General features: G+C 41.1%; 1 protein-coding gene across 7 annotated transcripts in view, besides 2 other annotated features; it reads left to right on the forward strand.

Moving 5' to 3' along the window:
- Window positions 1–13,745, forward strand: part of MEGF10 (multiple EGF like domains 10) — a 231,923-nt gene that overhangs the window by 187,374 nt on the left and 30,804 nt on the right. For 5 of the 7 annotated variants that reach the window (XM_017009987.2, XM_011543694.1, NM_032446.3 and 2 more), the window contains 4 exons: window positions 965–1,139; window positions 2,447–2,567; window positions 3,371–3,534; window positions 5,997–6,099. In XM_017009987.2, the coding sequence (XP_016865476.1) occupies window positions 965–1,139; window positions 2,447–2,567; window positions 3,371–3,534; window positions 5,997–6,099 (563 nt within the window). Of the gene's footprint in view, window positions 1–964; window positions 1,140–2,446; window positions 2,568–3,370; window positions 3,535–5,996; window positions 6,100–7,665; window positions 8,109–13,745 lie in introns of those variants that run through there. The other 2 variants (NM_001308119.2, NM_001308121.2) reach the window with 1 other exon arrangement.
- Window positions 2,928–3,429: an enhancer, noted in NCBI's record as "H3K4me1 hESC enhancer chr5:126755293-126755794 (GRCh37/hg19 assembly coordinates)". NCBI's record gives its function as "activates a minimal SCP1, AML or CMV promoter by ChIP-STARR-seq in primed H9 embryonic stem cells {active_cell/tissue: H9 hESC(primed)}" and the evidence as "EXISTENCE:reporter gene assay evidence [ECO:0000049][PMID:30033119]".
- Window positions 6,741–6,790: an enhancer, noted in NCBI's record as "active region_23033". NCBI's record gives its function as "activates an Ori minimal core promoter by ATAC-STARR-seq in GM12878 lymphoblastoid cells {active_cell/tissue: GM12878}" and the evidence as "EXISTENCE:reporter gene assay evidence [ECO:0000049][PMID:35858748]".

Here is a 13,745-nt window from a genome sequence, read left to right on the forward strand (position 1 = left end):
ACAAGGAGGAGGAGGAATATAGGATATAAGATTATGGGGCGTGGCTGAGACCCTCACTTGGCAGACTAGGACATCAGGCCCAAGGAAGCTGTATTTCACTGAGGCTACTTAGGTAGTGGGAGAACTGGGATTACATCCTCAGTCTTCATCCCTCCCAGGTTGTCATTCTTTCCAAGAGTAGAAAATCTATGAACAGTCCTCTGATGGGAGGTCACTTAGCAAATGTATGGATATGACACAGGTGTTTGTTTTTGGCCCTAGTTAAGGGAGGGTTTTAGCTCCATCAGGCAAGGAAGACCATCTTTAAACAGTCTTCCTCTTGTCAGGAGAACTAGTTTGATTGTTAAGATTTTCTAGTGGTGAGAAGCACATGTGTTTTGAGCCAGCATGCCACAGAGGGCCCTATTGTGTCAACTCACTTACGCGTGCATCTCAGCGCAGCTGATATGTCCATTTGCTATGGAGCAACAGCTGGTTGCCTGGTGGGTCAATGCGGCTGCTGTTTCAGGTGGAGACAGCTGCCAGCTACCAGGTATAGGGAACTGAGAGGAGAAACAGGCTGACAAGGTCACTGCTTTTGGTGTTCCTGGGACATCATACTAGTTAACTGGTTTGGTATTGTCCATTGGATGGAGTTTTTTTAGCTCCTCTCATAGAGTTGACCTCTTACAAAATTAGTGCATTCAATTTAAGAGAATTAAAAAGAATTTCAGACAAAAGGATGTGGTTGTAATACATCCTGCTAGAGATGATGCTGATGATGCTGATTTCATACAACATTCCTGTAGTACCCATCAGGTTTCAGCCAATTAATTAAATCATACCAAGCCTGGGAATGAAGTTTGAATTATTCTGCATGGAATTACCCACACATTTAGTGATCATTGCTAAAGCAACATTTGCACAGAAGTTGGGTGTCATGTTTACCCCAAAGTGACTTATTCCTTTCATCCATGTCTCTCAGCTGTCACCCCATGTCTGGAGAGTGTGCCTGCAAGCCGGGCTGGTCAGGACTCTACTGTAATGAGACATGTTCTCCTGGATTCTACGGGGAAGCTTGCCAGCAGATCTGCAGCTGCCAAAATGGGGCAGACTGTGACAGTGTGACTGGAAAGTGCACCTGTGCCCCAGGATTCAAAGTGAGTGACTAGGGCTCTGGAGGAAGGAGAAGAGGGGTGCAGTGTGAAGCATCTCAATACCATGATTTATATGACCTCCAGTGAAATACAGTGAATGTGCTAAAGTCATCCACATCATTAAAGAGAGAGAGAAAATGAGGGGAAAAATGCTAATAGAGATATAAGGAATTACCTTAGAATAATGACTGCGAAAACTGGTAAAACTATAAATGTGGCATTAATTTTTAATATAAACACATGTCAGAAAGCATATTATAATTATTCCTTAAGTAATTTATTTTATTGTGTTTTATAGGTGACAAAGAAGTTACTTTTCCAAGTAGATTATTATTGTTGACAGCTTTTGTTTTTAATTCCACAAAATTTGAAGACACATCGAGTTAGCATTTGTAATGTATTTACATTCTGTAGTTGGTAGTACATAAGTTTTTAGGTCCCTTTGAAAATCCAGACCCTATAAATATGTCTATATTCCATGCATAATAGAGCAGAATTTTGCTTACAGTTTCTAAGATTTCATAGTGATAGGCTAGGAATCTTTGCTTTAAAGGAGAATGTGTTGTTCTTGAATTATTCCTTCCCATTTTAAAGAGCACATTGAACTATGAAGAATGTTGATGATTATTCCAGAGCACATAATGTAGAACTGGTGGATCATAAGGTCACAGAGCTGAGAGGATCTTTAAAGGGTTTTCTAACCTATGTCATAACCCTTTGGTTCAGCCCTTGAATTAGCTTTGTCTTAAGAGTCCCTTCTGTTTTGAAAGGAGATGACCTCCAGTTGCCTTTGGTAGCTTAATTCTGCCTTTAATGCTCCCTGTCGGATAAAGTGAATCATGTTGCTGAATGTGTTCTGTTGTTGCTTTGCTTTACCTACTAAAAATATTACATATCATACAAGGATATCTAGGAAGGGTTGAGATCTAATGTATAGTTTATATTGATGTTTATTTATTGAGAGTAATTTTACAGATACAATTTATTTTTATATATCTACTTGTCTGAGCAATGAAAAAGGGTTTTTATTGTTGTTTTGTTTTAGTTCTGCTATGAAGGCAAAGCTAATGTAGGTGCAAGCTTTTTTGGATCCCATTTAATAATATATCCTAAACATAGACCAGCTAGTGTTGCCCTTAAATTTCTAAAATTTGTATAGTGGTGACATTATGACAAAATTTTAAAAATACAGTGTGTTAAAATTAGAGAGGAAGTATAATTAGCATTGCCAAGATATATTTTTGTTTATTTGTGTTGGCCTTATTTCAGTTGGCAAAATTGAATGCATTTTGCTACTTGTGCCTGTCTAGGGAATTGACTGCTCTACCCCATGCCCTCTGGGAACCTATGGGATAAACTGTTCCTCTCGCTGTGGCTGTAAAAATGATGCAGTCTGCTCTCCTGTGGACGGGTCTTGTACTTGCAAGGCAGGTAAGAATGGGTAAATAAGTCTTTAATTTGATCCTGGTCACGTTATCTCCTAAAGACACAAAAAAGAAAAACCTTAACCAGGGTTCTAGCTCCAGTTGCACCAAAATTCAGTGTCTGACCTCCGCAAGCCCCTCATCCAGTATGGGCTGGAACGCTTTCCTGAGTGAAGGGAAGAGGCTCACATTAGATGATCTCTGAAGTCACTGCCAGCTCCAAAAGTCTCTGTGTCTGTGCACTTTTGGGAAGAGTAAACAAGCAGACATGTGTTCATGCCCCTAAATTGACTGGCTTGGAATCATGACAAGAAACGCAGCCAAGCACCAATTTTATATGAGCACTAGAACGTGTCCATCCATAGGTGCAGCCAGGATCCTGGATATACACAGTTGCTGGTTAATGGGGTCCTGCTTTAAAGATGGTGTTGTGTTTTCAAGCAGAATCCTTTGTCTCCCTTCCATATAAATATTTCACTTTCCTGATCTGAACAAAACTCAGCATTCCACAGTGTGCATCACTGCCCATTAAAGGTGCTTTGACTCTATATCTCTTTTTCAGTAGCCCACTAGTATGCAGTGCTGGCATCCTCGACAGATCACACAACACACATGGCTGTTTGGGTCGTCAGGGGTGCCTTCTGTTCATTTCTGATGGAGGCCTAACTTGGCAGAACCAGTGTTCTCTGCTGCTGTGGCTGGGGCTTGCATCTCCAAGGCGTTTCTAAAGAGAAACGTGGTTTGGAAAGGCTCAACAAGGCTCTCTGCTGCCTTTGTTCGCTCACGTGCTCTGGCGTTCTTGTCGCACAGGCTGGCACGGGGTGGACTGCTCCATCAGATGTCCCAGTGGCACATGGGGCTTTGGCTGTAACTTAACATGCCAGTGCCTCAACGGGGGAGCCTGCAACACCCTGGACGGGACCTGCACGTGTGCACCTGGATGGCGCGGGGAGAAATGCGAACTTCCCTGCCAGGTATGCACAAATCAGCGCCCTGACGGAAAACGCCTATGAGGAACTGATGTTGTAAAGTTGGCTTCTTTTTGCATTTTTCCTGACTTCAAGTGGCTCACTGTGAACCCAACTTCGGTAACTACTGGAAGAATCCAGGTATTTGGATTCAAATTGGACGTAGGATTGGAAAAGAGATAGACATGGAAACTGGTTAGATAGGCTCTGCGAGAATTTCTTCCTTCTTTTCCTTCATCTTGTTCAGTTTCCTCAACCCCCACCCTTTACTTTCTGTTTCTTATTCACCCATCTCTTGGTGGCAGCCAGTGAACAGTACTGGTCTCCAAATATTTTGTTTCCACTATCATGGAAATCTCCCTGCCTTTATGGTAGAAAGTGGCAGGGAGTTGAAAGGAGGGTGGTGACTGATGTCATAGAAATGCTCATGGAAGTGTTGAAAGAAGGTTTGGAAACAATGTCTTTTAACATAAGTATCTCTGGAGCCACAAAAATTTCTTAAGATGTCCCTATAGCTCACTCTATTCCCTTGACCTACTTTGGAGATACAGGTCATTAGAAATCTCATACTGCATCTACCTCAAGCTGTCAGGGAGTGCAAACGGGAAGTGCATTCTGGAGTAAGCTGCTGATTTCTTTTCCATCACTCTTTCTTTCTATAGCAATTATTTTCTCCTGAGCCATTAGGCATTCTCTCTGTGGTGTGTGTTCTCTGCCTCCAGGACATCATCTGATGGCGAGTTAACAATGTGACCCCCTGAACTGGGCCCCTCGAGAAGGGCCTTCCACAATGCTCTTGTCTCTCTGGGCTTCCTCCTCATTAAGTACAACCCACTTCCCAAAATAGAAAGGATCCCACTCATGGATATCCCATGGACAGAGCTGTCAGCTTTGCTGCCTCTCATCACTCTAGTGAACAAATTATCAGTACTTGGAGATGAGCTTGAAGATCACTTTTTACTCCCTATCTGATTGTAGACAAAGCAAAGCCCCTGGCACAATCTCGTCCTTTTTCATACCTTAGAGGAGTTAGTAAATCAGTGAAGGCTGAGGGTTTAGTGGTTCATATCATGACAAAACTAAATCCTGTGTAGCTGTATCAAACATTGGTGGGGTCTACAAAATGATTGTTTTCTTTTTCTTATTTTAACAAGTTCTAGACAAATAATTATTCATCTAGCACCCACTACCTGTCTATGCTGGTTCCCATGTTCCTCCTCTGTGGTAATTCTGTACCCCTGTTTCTCTTAGTTCTTGGGTGGTGTTGGGAAGGCTTGTAGTGCCTCCCTCATTTCCCAGGATCTGTGGTGAAAGAGCTGAACTTTCCATTCTTTCTCCATAAACAAAACAATCATGTCTATGAGGAGTCTTGTCTCCATCAGACCATCCAAACTGACGTGCACATGAAAGTATAAAAGATCTGGAAGGGGAGGAGCAAGGAGGTGTGTCAACTCATACTTAGGACTGTGAGTCAGGATATTTTGTGTGGCTTAGACTTCTTCCTGAAAAGCAGGATAATAATCAGAGAAAAGTAACAAAATATCTTCATTTTTCTTTATAGTACCATGTATCTCGTTGGCAACTTATGGCAATGAACTTAATTCAATTAAAACTATAATTTTTAAGATTAGTTTATAATTTAAAATTTTTTTAAATTATAAATTTTTTTATATTTTATAAAATATAAATAGGCAGGAGAATGGTGTGAACCCGGGAGGCAGAGCTTGCAGTGAGCCGAGATAGCGCCACTGCCGTCCGGCCTGGGTGAAAGAGTGAGACTCCGTCTCAAAAAAAAAAAAAAAAAAAATGACCCTGACCCACACAAAAAAGCTCTAAAATTATAGTTTTAAAACTATAATTTTATAATTTAAAAAATTTTTAAAGTGTGTTGGCATGATTGGCTTCACTATTTATATGTCCCAACCGTTGTGTCAGGCATAAACTAGGGTTTGAGTGACTTTAAAACACTGACTTCCTGGAGCCTATATTTTGGGGACTAAGAAGACATAGAAAGAGGTGATTAAGATGCATCCCTCTGGCTGGGTGCGGTGGCTCACGCCTGTAATCCAAACACTTTGGGAGGCTGAGGCGAGTGGATCACCTGAGGTCAGGAGTTCGAGACCAGCCTGACCAACAAGGTGAAACCCTGTCTCTACTAAAAATACAAAAATTAGCCTGGCAAGGTGGCAGGTGCCTATAGTCCCAGCTACTCGGGAGGCTGAGAATTCCTTCAACCCGGGAGGCCGAGGTTGCGCTGAGCTGAAATCACACCACTGCACTCCAGTCTGGGCAACAGAGCGAGACTCCATCTCAAAAAAAAAGAAAAAAATAAATAAAGATACATCCCTGTAAGAAGCGTTTGGGACAGCAGGGTACTGTATGTGAAATGGCTGACAGTGGCCTTTTCCTCTTCTGTTGTGGGATTTCCCAGGCCCTCATTGCTGCCTTTGATGCTGTTTTCCATGCAGGATGGCACGTACGGGCTGAACTGTGCTGAGCGCTGCGACTGCAGCCACGCAGATGGCTGCCACCCTACCACGGGCCATTGCCGCTGCCTCCCCGGATGGTCAGGTGAGAGCCAAGGACCGCTAATTGAAAGGTGAAACCCGCCAATTTAACACCTAGTGCTGTTCCTTATCACTTCACAGAAACACACACCAGTCAACTTTTCAAAAAAAATGAAAATTCGATAAGGTTTCCAGTAAACTGAAACCTTTAATCTATAATCCAGGACTGATTTTTTGTTGATTTGTGTAGGGGCAGTTCTCTTGAGCTACAAGTAAGGTCCAGCTGTCAAAATTCAGGCCAGCAAGATGGGGAAAATGTGAATTGCTTTGAAGAGTTCAGCAAGACCACTGTGGTATATTTTGAGCACTGAAGAAAGAATGATTGAAATAAACCCTAAAAATATGACAAGGGTCACCTTAGTGAGGCAAAAAAATACAGATATTAATATGGTGAATATGCATATGCATATTATTGTATGGTTAATATGCAAATATTAAAATGTTCATTGCTGGAAGTAAAAGTTTTAAAACTTTCTTTTTTTACGATAATGTTCTGGTCATGACAAATTCATAATATGACTGAGTACAAATTCTGTAACCACAGGGTGGGAGTTTCTCCTTATTTATATAGCTTCACCGTTTCAGCCAGGAAGTTTATCAAGCTAAAAGTGATACTGAAAGAAGAAGTTTCTGCTCATGGTATACAGACTTGCTAAGATATTTAGTGCCACCTTCCAAGTATCATGAGCAAAAACATTGTTCTTCTTCTAGGACTACTTTACATTCCTACCAGTAATGTACGAGGGTTCCATTTTTTTCATTTCCTCACCAACACTAGTTATTATCTGACTTTTTGATTCTAGCCATCCTAGTCAGTGTTCAGTGGTATCTCATTGTGGTTTTGCTTTCCATTTCCATGATGGCTGATGATATTGAACATCTTTCTGTGCATTTATTGGTCATCTCTATTATCTTCTTTATATAAATCCCTGCTCAGACTCTTTGTTAATTTTTTAACTGGATTTTCTTTTTACTATGGCGTTATAATCTTTATATTTTTTAGATATATGTCCTTATCAGATATATAATTTACAAATATTTTATTCCATTCTTTGAGTTATTTTTTCCTTTCTTGATGATGACTTTTGCAGCAGAAAAGTTTTTATTTTGATGAAGTCTAGTTTATCTTTTTTATTTCATTGCTTGTGCTTTTGGTGTTAAATGTAAAAAAACATTGCCTGATCCAAGGTCACAAGATTTATGTCCATGTTTCTCCTAAAAATTTTATAGTTTTAGCTTCTGTATTTAGATATTTGATCCATTCTGAGGTAATTTTTACATACAATATGAGGTAGGGGTCCAACTTAATTCTTTTGCGTGTGGCTATCCAGTTGTCCCAGCACTATTTGTGAAAAGGCTATTCTTTCCCCCACTGAATTGTCTTGATACCCTTTTTAAAATTCAGCATTCCATAAATGTGAGAGGATTTATTTCTGGACTCCGTATTTCATTTCATTTGTCTATATATCTCTCCTTATGCCAGCACCATACAGTTTTGATTATTGTAGCTTAGGAGGAAGCATTAAAACTGAGAAATTGAAATCCTTTTAAATTGGTTTTTCTTTTTCAGGATTGTTTTGACTATTCTGGGTCCTTGAATTTCCATGTGAATGGTAACATCAATATGTTAATTTCCACAAAGAAGCAAGGTGGAAATTTAATGGAGATTGAATCTATAGATCAATTTGGGGAATACTGTCCACTTAACAATATGAAGTCTTCAGATTCATAAACATGGGATGTCACCAGCAACCTCTTCAGTAGTGTCTCTCAGCCCCTTGGAAAATGTTGAGAGCTTCTTTGGTTTCTAAAGGAGTAAACTGAGATGAACTGTCATGTGCTTGATTTCTAGTGTCTGAGAGCTACCTTGGGAAACAGGCTAAGGCTGGTGCAATGGACTTTATTTTCTACCAATAGGAGCTACCCACAGACACGAGGCCTCCCCAACCCTGTAGTTCCATCTTGACTTGCAAAACCTGAGATAACTTGACTTCACAATAGGAAATTCTGCCTTCCAATGTTTCAGCTTGGCTCTTCATCCCCAAATGTTAAAACTGCATCAACTAGGGATTGAACCAGATTTTGTGACTTCACTAGGGTTCTTGAAGTTCTCAAATGGAGAGATCGATACTAATTTCTCAATGACCACGGTGAAGCAAAATAACATTTTTAACCTTCTGGCAAATTCAGAATTTTCTAACAGAGAGACCACATCATTTGTTTTATACAACACTCCACCAAATCTACTTCTGTCTTATAAAGATAGAAAGAATGTGAGGTGTTCCTGAACACACCAGTCACTGCTCAAGTGTCCACCTGCTTTGATGATTTAGAACTATCCTGTGAAAGGCACACTCTAGTATACATGAGAAGAGCAAGAGATAGGATTTGGCCTGAAGCCAGCCGGAAAATGTGTTAGTTGCATTCCACAGTCTGGGTCATGGGGTAAGACAAATTATCCCATCTGACCTTAGACCTATCAAGCTCCTACGGGAATGCAGTGGCTTTGTCACACAATGTAATCTTGTAATCCTCTGTCCATCTGTGGCCGGCCTGCTTCTCTAAACGGGAAGACTACTGCTTCATGCTGCTCTATTGCTTGTTGCCTACCATCTCTGCCTCATGGTCTGTCAGTCATTATTGCTCCTAGACCAGCTAAGTTGCCCCAGTGTCTCATTTCTGGGTCTTCTGTGTGGGCTGTTGGTCTGTAAGCATCTGTCAGTATCTAAGCCTGCTGTGAGGTCATCCCTCACAATTACAGAATACACTTGGTATACAAAAACACATGTAGAGGAAAAGAAAATTACTGAAGTTCCAAAAAACACCTACAATTGGACCAAGAATTGGCTTATTTTTTTTTTTAAAGAAAGAGCAGCTTCTGTATATTATTTACAAAGGTCATCATTTCATTGTCTGCACTGGACAGACTAATAATTTTTTACCCATAAAATTGTTTAGGGTTAGTACCCTGTTAGGACCTTTTTGAACGTAAAGAAGGTTTTACTTTCCATTTAAGACACCAGGTTTGAGGTCAAAAGATAAACATAAGCCCAGAGAAGCAAGCAATTCTATTTCTTCTCATCCCTGTTGCTGAGATTGCTGTAGGTGAAATATTAAGTATCCCTGGACAGGGCAGAAGTATGTAGGATAGGAGGCTTGTGTGTAGTGAGGCTTTTATGAATAAATCAGTGAAATCTGACACAGAAGCCAGGGCTCTTCCCCTGATCAAATCAACAAGATGGCCTTAAGTGCTCCGTCAACTGTGGACACTGTGGGGAGAGGCTGATCAGTTGGATTTGGAGCCAGAGATAAGAGTCAGGAGGGCCTTGTTCCTCTTTACAAAGGAATTGACATGACTAAATTGAGGAAGTCTCACCCTAAGGTGAGATGCCAAGGAAGATGGCTTGCTGTCTTACTGTGTACCCACATCCACCATTTCTTATAACTTCAACCCACTATCTAGCATTTGACTGTTCTCTCAAAGGAACTGAGGCTTTTTTATTTCTATTATAATTGATAGTCCTATTTTACCTAGTCATAAAATAAGTCCTCAAAATATACTGTTATGAAAAGTAAACAAAATAAAAGTTGTGTTTGACATTTTAGATCCTATTTCCAAAAAAAGTACCATTTTATTGTAGTATGTGGTTATTTAAAACCTTAATTTATTGTCATTTTTAGCCAATACACTATTTTATCAAAAAGAGGCAGATTGCAGTAGAAGAATGAGGAAAATGAAATACCATTCAGGATTTAGGCTGTGTCCTATGCTGCTTCTCCTACACCTCTGGACCTCTGGTACACACACACACTCTCTCTCTCTCTCTGCTATAAAATGAGGCTCGCTTTTCAAAATGATTATACTGAAATTTCAGATGTCAATGAAATATAATTATGAGTGTTTGTGTATACTTATGTATGTGTGTTTCCAGAGTAGTGGAGTGATATACTTTATAAAAGCATTTTCCCAAAATTACAGAAACAGGCTGAAGTTTATGTCTTCTTTTCTGCTCTGACTTCAGTCAGCCAGAACACCCATTTGCTGAGCATTACAGCTAATCAAGATTTCATTCCAGCTGACTGGGAACATGTGCAGTGTCCGGCCTCATTCCCAGCCCTGGCTAAGATCACTGTCACCTGGGAACTCTTCGAACTTGCATATTCCCAGTCCCCACCTCACACCTACTAAATGAGAATTTGGAAAGTGGCTGAGGAGGAGGAAGATTATGGAGCCTCTGCCCATCCAGAAAGCAACTTTGATACAAATTTGGAAAAGATTTGGAAATCCCTCAGGATGTACTCCTTGGCACATGAAGTGCAAGCCGGATTTCTGCCCCAACTTAGCCCCTTGGGCAGGGGCTCTTGCATAGTGCACAACTTGCAAAACCTTACTTGGTGGCTTTGTCTGCCCTGGTGACCCAGGCAGGCAGTGGCAGTTACGGTCTGCATAGTGGCATCTGCTGTGTCATATTACTCTAGTTATTGAAGAACTTGGGGTCTGGGGTGCATTTCTTTGACAGAAACCACATAATCAATGGCAAATGAGAAGAGGTGGTTCAAGGATGTGTTTATACCAGAATAAAAAAGTTAAACACTAAACAGATAAAAAGGAGAATAGGACACCCAATGAAACTCTAGGGGTCTTGAGAAAGAGAGGAGAGACTATCAAGGCATGGTATAATTGTAAGGGGAGGGGTAGGAGAATAAGAGGAGAGGTTGGGGGCTCATCTGAGCCCAGCCAGGAAGGGTGTAATCGGAAGGAGGATCACCTGTGGGCAAGTTGATGTGAAGAGCCCACTTCTCCGCTCTTCCCAGCAAGCAGAACTAGGCCTAGAGTGGCCGCAGCCTCCCTCCACAAGGAAAGCTCTCCTTTCCATGTTTTACCAAACAGCAAGTTTGACCAGCTGAGTGAGTGAGCTGCTACTTCAGGGACTAATCTGTCGTGAGGTGATGTCTCATGCAGCTAAGGGATGCCTGAACTGTTAAAATAAGGGGAGACCTACCTTCCTTTGTCCAGTGACATATAAGTGCAAATCCAAGTTGGAGGTAATAACTTTAGTCAAATGAGTTTAATTAACATGCCTGCACCCAATCAGCCACAAGTACAAATGACTCACTATCTGACCCTTTTGGGTATTGAGGGCTGGAGAGTGTGTCTGCAGGTTCATATGTATATGTCTGTCTGTTTGGTCTTGGGAGAGGGGATCATATAAAAGCAGAAGGCTGGGCCCCTGCTGTGAGGGTGAAGGGAGGTGCTCATTTCCCCCAACAAGAAAAGGCCACAGAAAAAACCAAAGCTCCAAGATCTGCCTAGCAATCCTTTCTACTTGCTTTTATCTGGGTCCAGACTGAGGCAGGCCATGGTGTCTGGTATTTTTTTTTTTTTTTTTTTTTTTGTCTTGCAAGTGCAAAGGCAAACACCTCTGATTTATATGACTTATTAAGACTTTTTTCAACTTTGTTGAACTATATAAAGCAGATTCTTTTTTACTGGGTCTTTAAAATCCATAGTATCCAAATAGAAAGATTTGGTTTAACAACCATTTGTTGAGTGTCTCCAGGTTCTATGCAACCATAATGCTTGGGTGCTGGGAACACAGAGAGGAAGTGAAGCCAACTCCCATCCTGCAGAAGCTCACATTGCATCAGGACAGTCGCTCTATCAGCAGAGATGGATATACCAGTGAATAACTTCTCTATACTACACCACACTATGCTGTACTACACTACACTACGCTACACTACACTACACTACACTATGCCACTGCTTTGTTGGTCAAAGGATTAGAAAAGCAGAAAAAGTGTTGTGACTAAATACTATAGTTCCTCCATCTTATAATTACCAAGCCCAATTATTATTAACAAATATCTCTCTTTGCTCTAATATATGTTTAATAGCTTGTTGCCCAGGAACTAGACATAGAATCAAAATAATTTCCTTCATTCACTAACGCTCCAAATATTGGAATACTGGCATAAGGAATATAAGCAATTAAGTAAGACAAGGATTTGGGGTTATATCTATGAGAGGGGAAAGAATGACACCCCAGATGATTTATTTACTGCATTCATGCAATCACAAATGCCCAGTGAATGCTGATTTCACATTGAGGCCGCTGGCATAATGCATCAGGCATTAATTGCACGAACATTTCTTTAGAGCTGCTTAGCTGAAGTTTATCACGATCATTCAGCCATTGCCTAGCAACTTGTGGAGGCTATCAAAGAGCTCTTTGTTCTCAGTCGTGGCAAAAACAGTCCCTTACAGATCTCCTTATCAGCATTAGAACATTTATCAGAAAAGAAATGCTCCCATTGAACCAGAGATGGCTGCAGATTTAAACCTACCCCCTTCCCACGTTGCCCCTTCTTCCCAATATTTTAGAAGTTATTTCCTGAACTATTAAAGTTTCTATCTGTTTTTTGCTAAAACTTCTGAAGGAATTTCCTTAAGATGTCATATAATTCCTTTATGGCCTAATAATCTGGGCTTACATGTAAAAACACAGACCTGAGCCCCTAAATGTGTATCTGCTCAAGAATAAGCAAGGCAGACATCTCCACCTCCTTAGCAGGGAAGGGTCACCATTTTTGATATACAACCTATAAATATGTTGGGCTTCCTGGTTTGAGTGAAGACTTATTCAGGAAAGCAAAGAATGCTGTGGTTGCTCCATCCCATTGGAAAGTGGTCCTGAATATCATACAGGAAATAGGAATTATGTGTATCGATTCATTCAACAAATAAATTTATTTAACACCTCCCATGTGCTAGGTGCTATGGTGAGCAAAAACAGGCATTGTCTCTCCCTCAGGGAGCTGCCAGAATTAATTACCTTTGGTGGAGAATTGGAGGGGAGTCTTCATCTGCATTTTCTTCTATATCTCTCCAGAATTCCTCTTCCCCGCATCTCTGCTGACATTGACTTAGTTTCATGCCTTGTCACTTTGATCATTTTTTTTATTTGGGGAACCCCAAATGGGGGTTCTGCAGGTAAAAGAGCACCTGACAGGTTTTCTTTCTTCCCAGGCTCAACATCTTCTGGCCATCTTCTGCCCTCCTATAAAGCACAAATTTAGTTGTGCCCCTTCCTTCTTAAAATTGTTCATTTGGTCCCTGTTAACACCAGGGGGAGGTTCACACTCTATAGCATGGCGCTCTTGGCTCAACTCAACTTGGCCACTGCTTGGCTGCCCAGATGTCTCACCTGCTCTCCCCAGCCCCTGAGTTTTAGCTGTACCCAACACTTGCAATTCCCAAAGGACAGACACTTCTTTGGGCCTCTGAGCCTTGCCACCACTGTTCCCTTAGCCTGCAGTCCTCTTCCCCCTTCACAAGCTACCTCCCTTCCTGATCATGATCCCCAGGCAGAGCAGGGTGTGCCTGTTCTGTGGTCATTATCACCCTGGGGTTACATTTTTAAGAAAACTTCTCACAGCAAACCAGTAGCTGGCCAGATCCCTTGAATGTTTGCTGAGTTGGGTTTCCTTTTCTGCCTTTGACAAACAAAGAAACAAAAAGATGTTTTGTAGGACCCTAGCAAAGCTGGCAAAAAATAAGAGGAGATAAATATAAATAATACACATGTACCCACACAGAGCCAGAAATAATGGTTAAAGCAAAACTTACAACTCTTCATCCTGGAGAAT

This window comes from Homo sapiens, chromosome 5 (genome assembly GCF_000001405.40).
Source record: "Homo sapiens chromosome 5, GRCh38.p14 Primary Assembly".
Classification (NCBI taxonomy): Eukaryota; Metazoa; Chordata; class Mammalia; order Primates; family Hominidae; genus Homo; species Homo sapiens.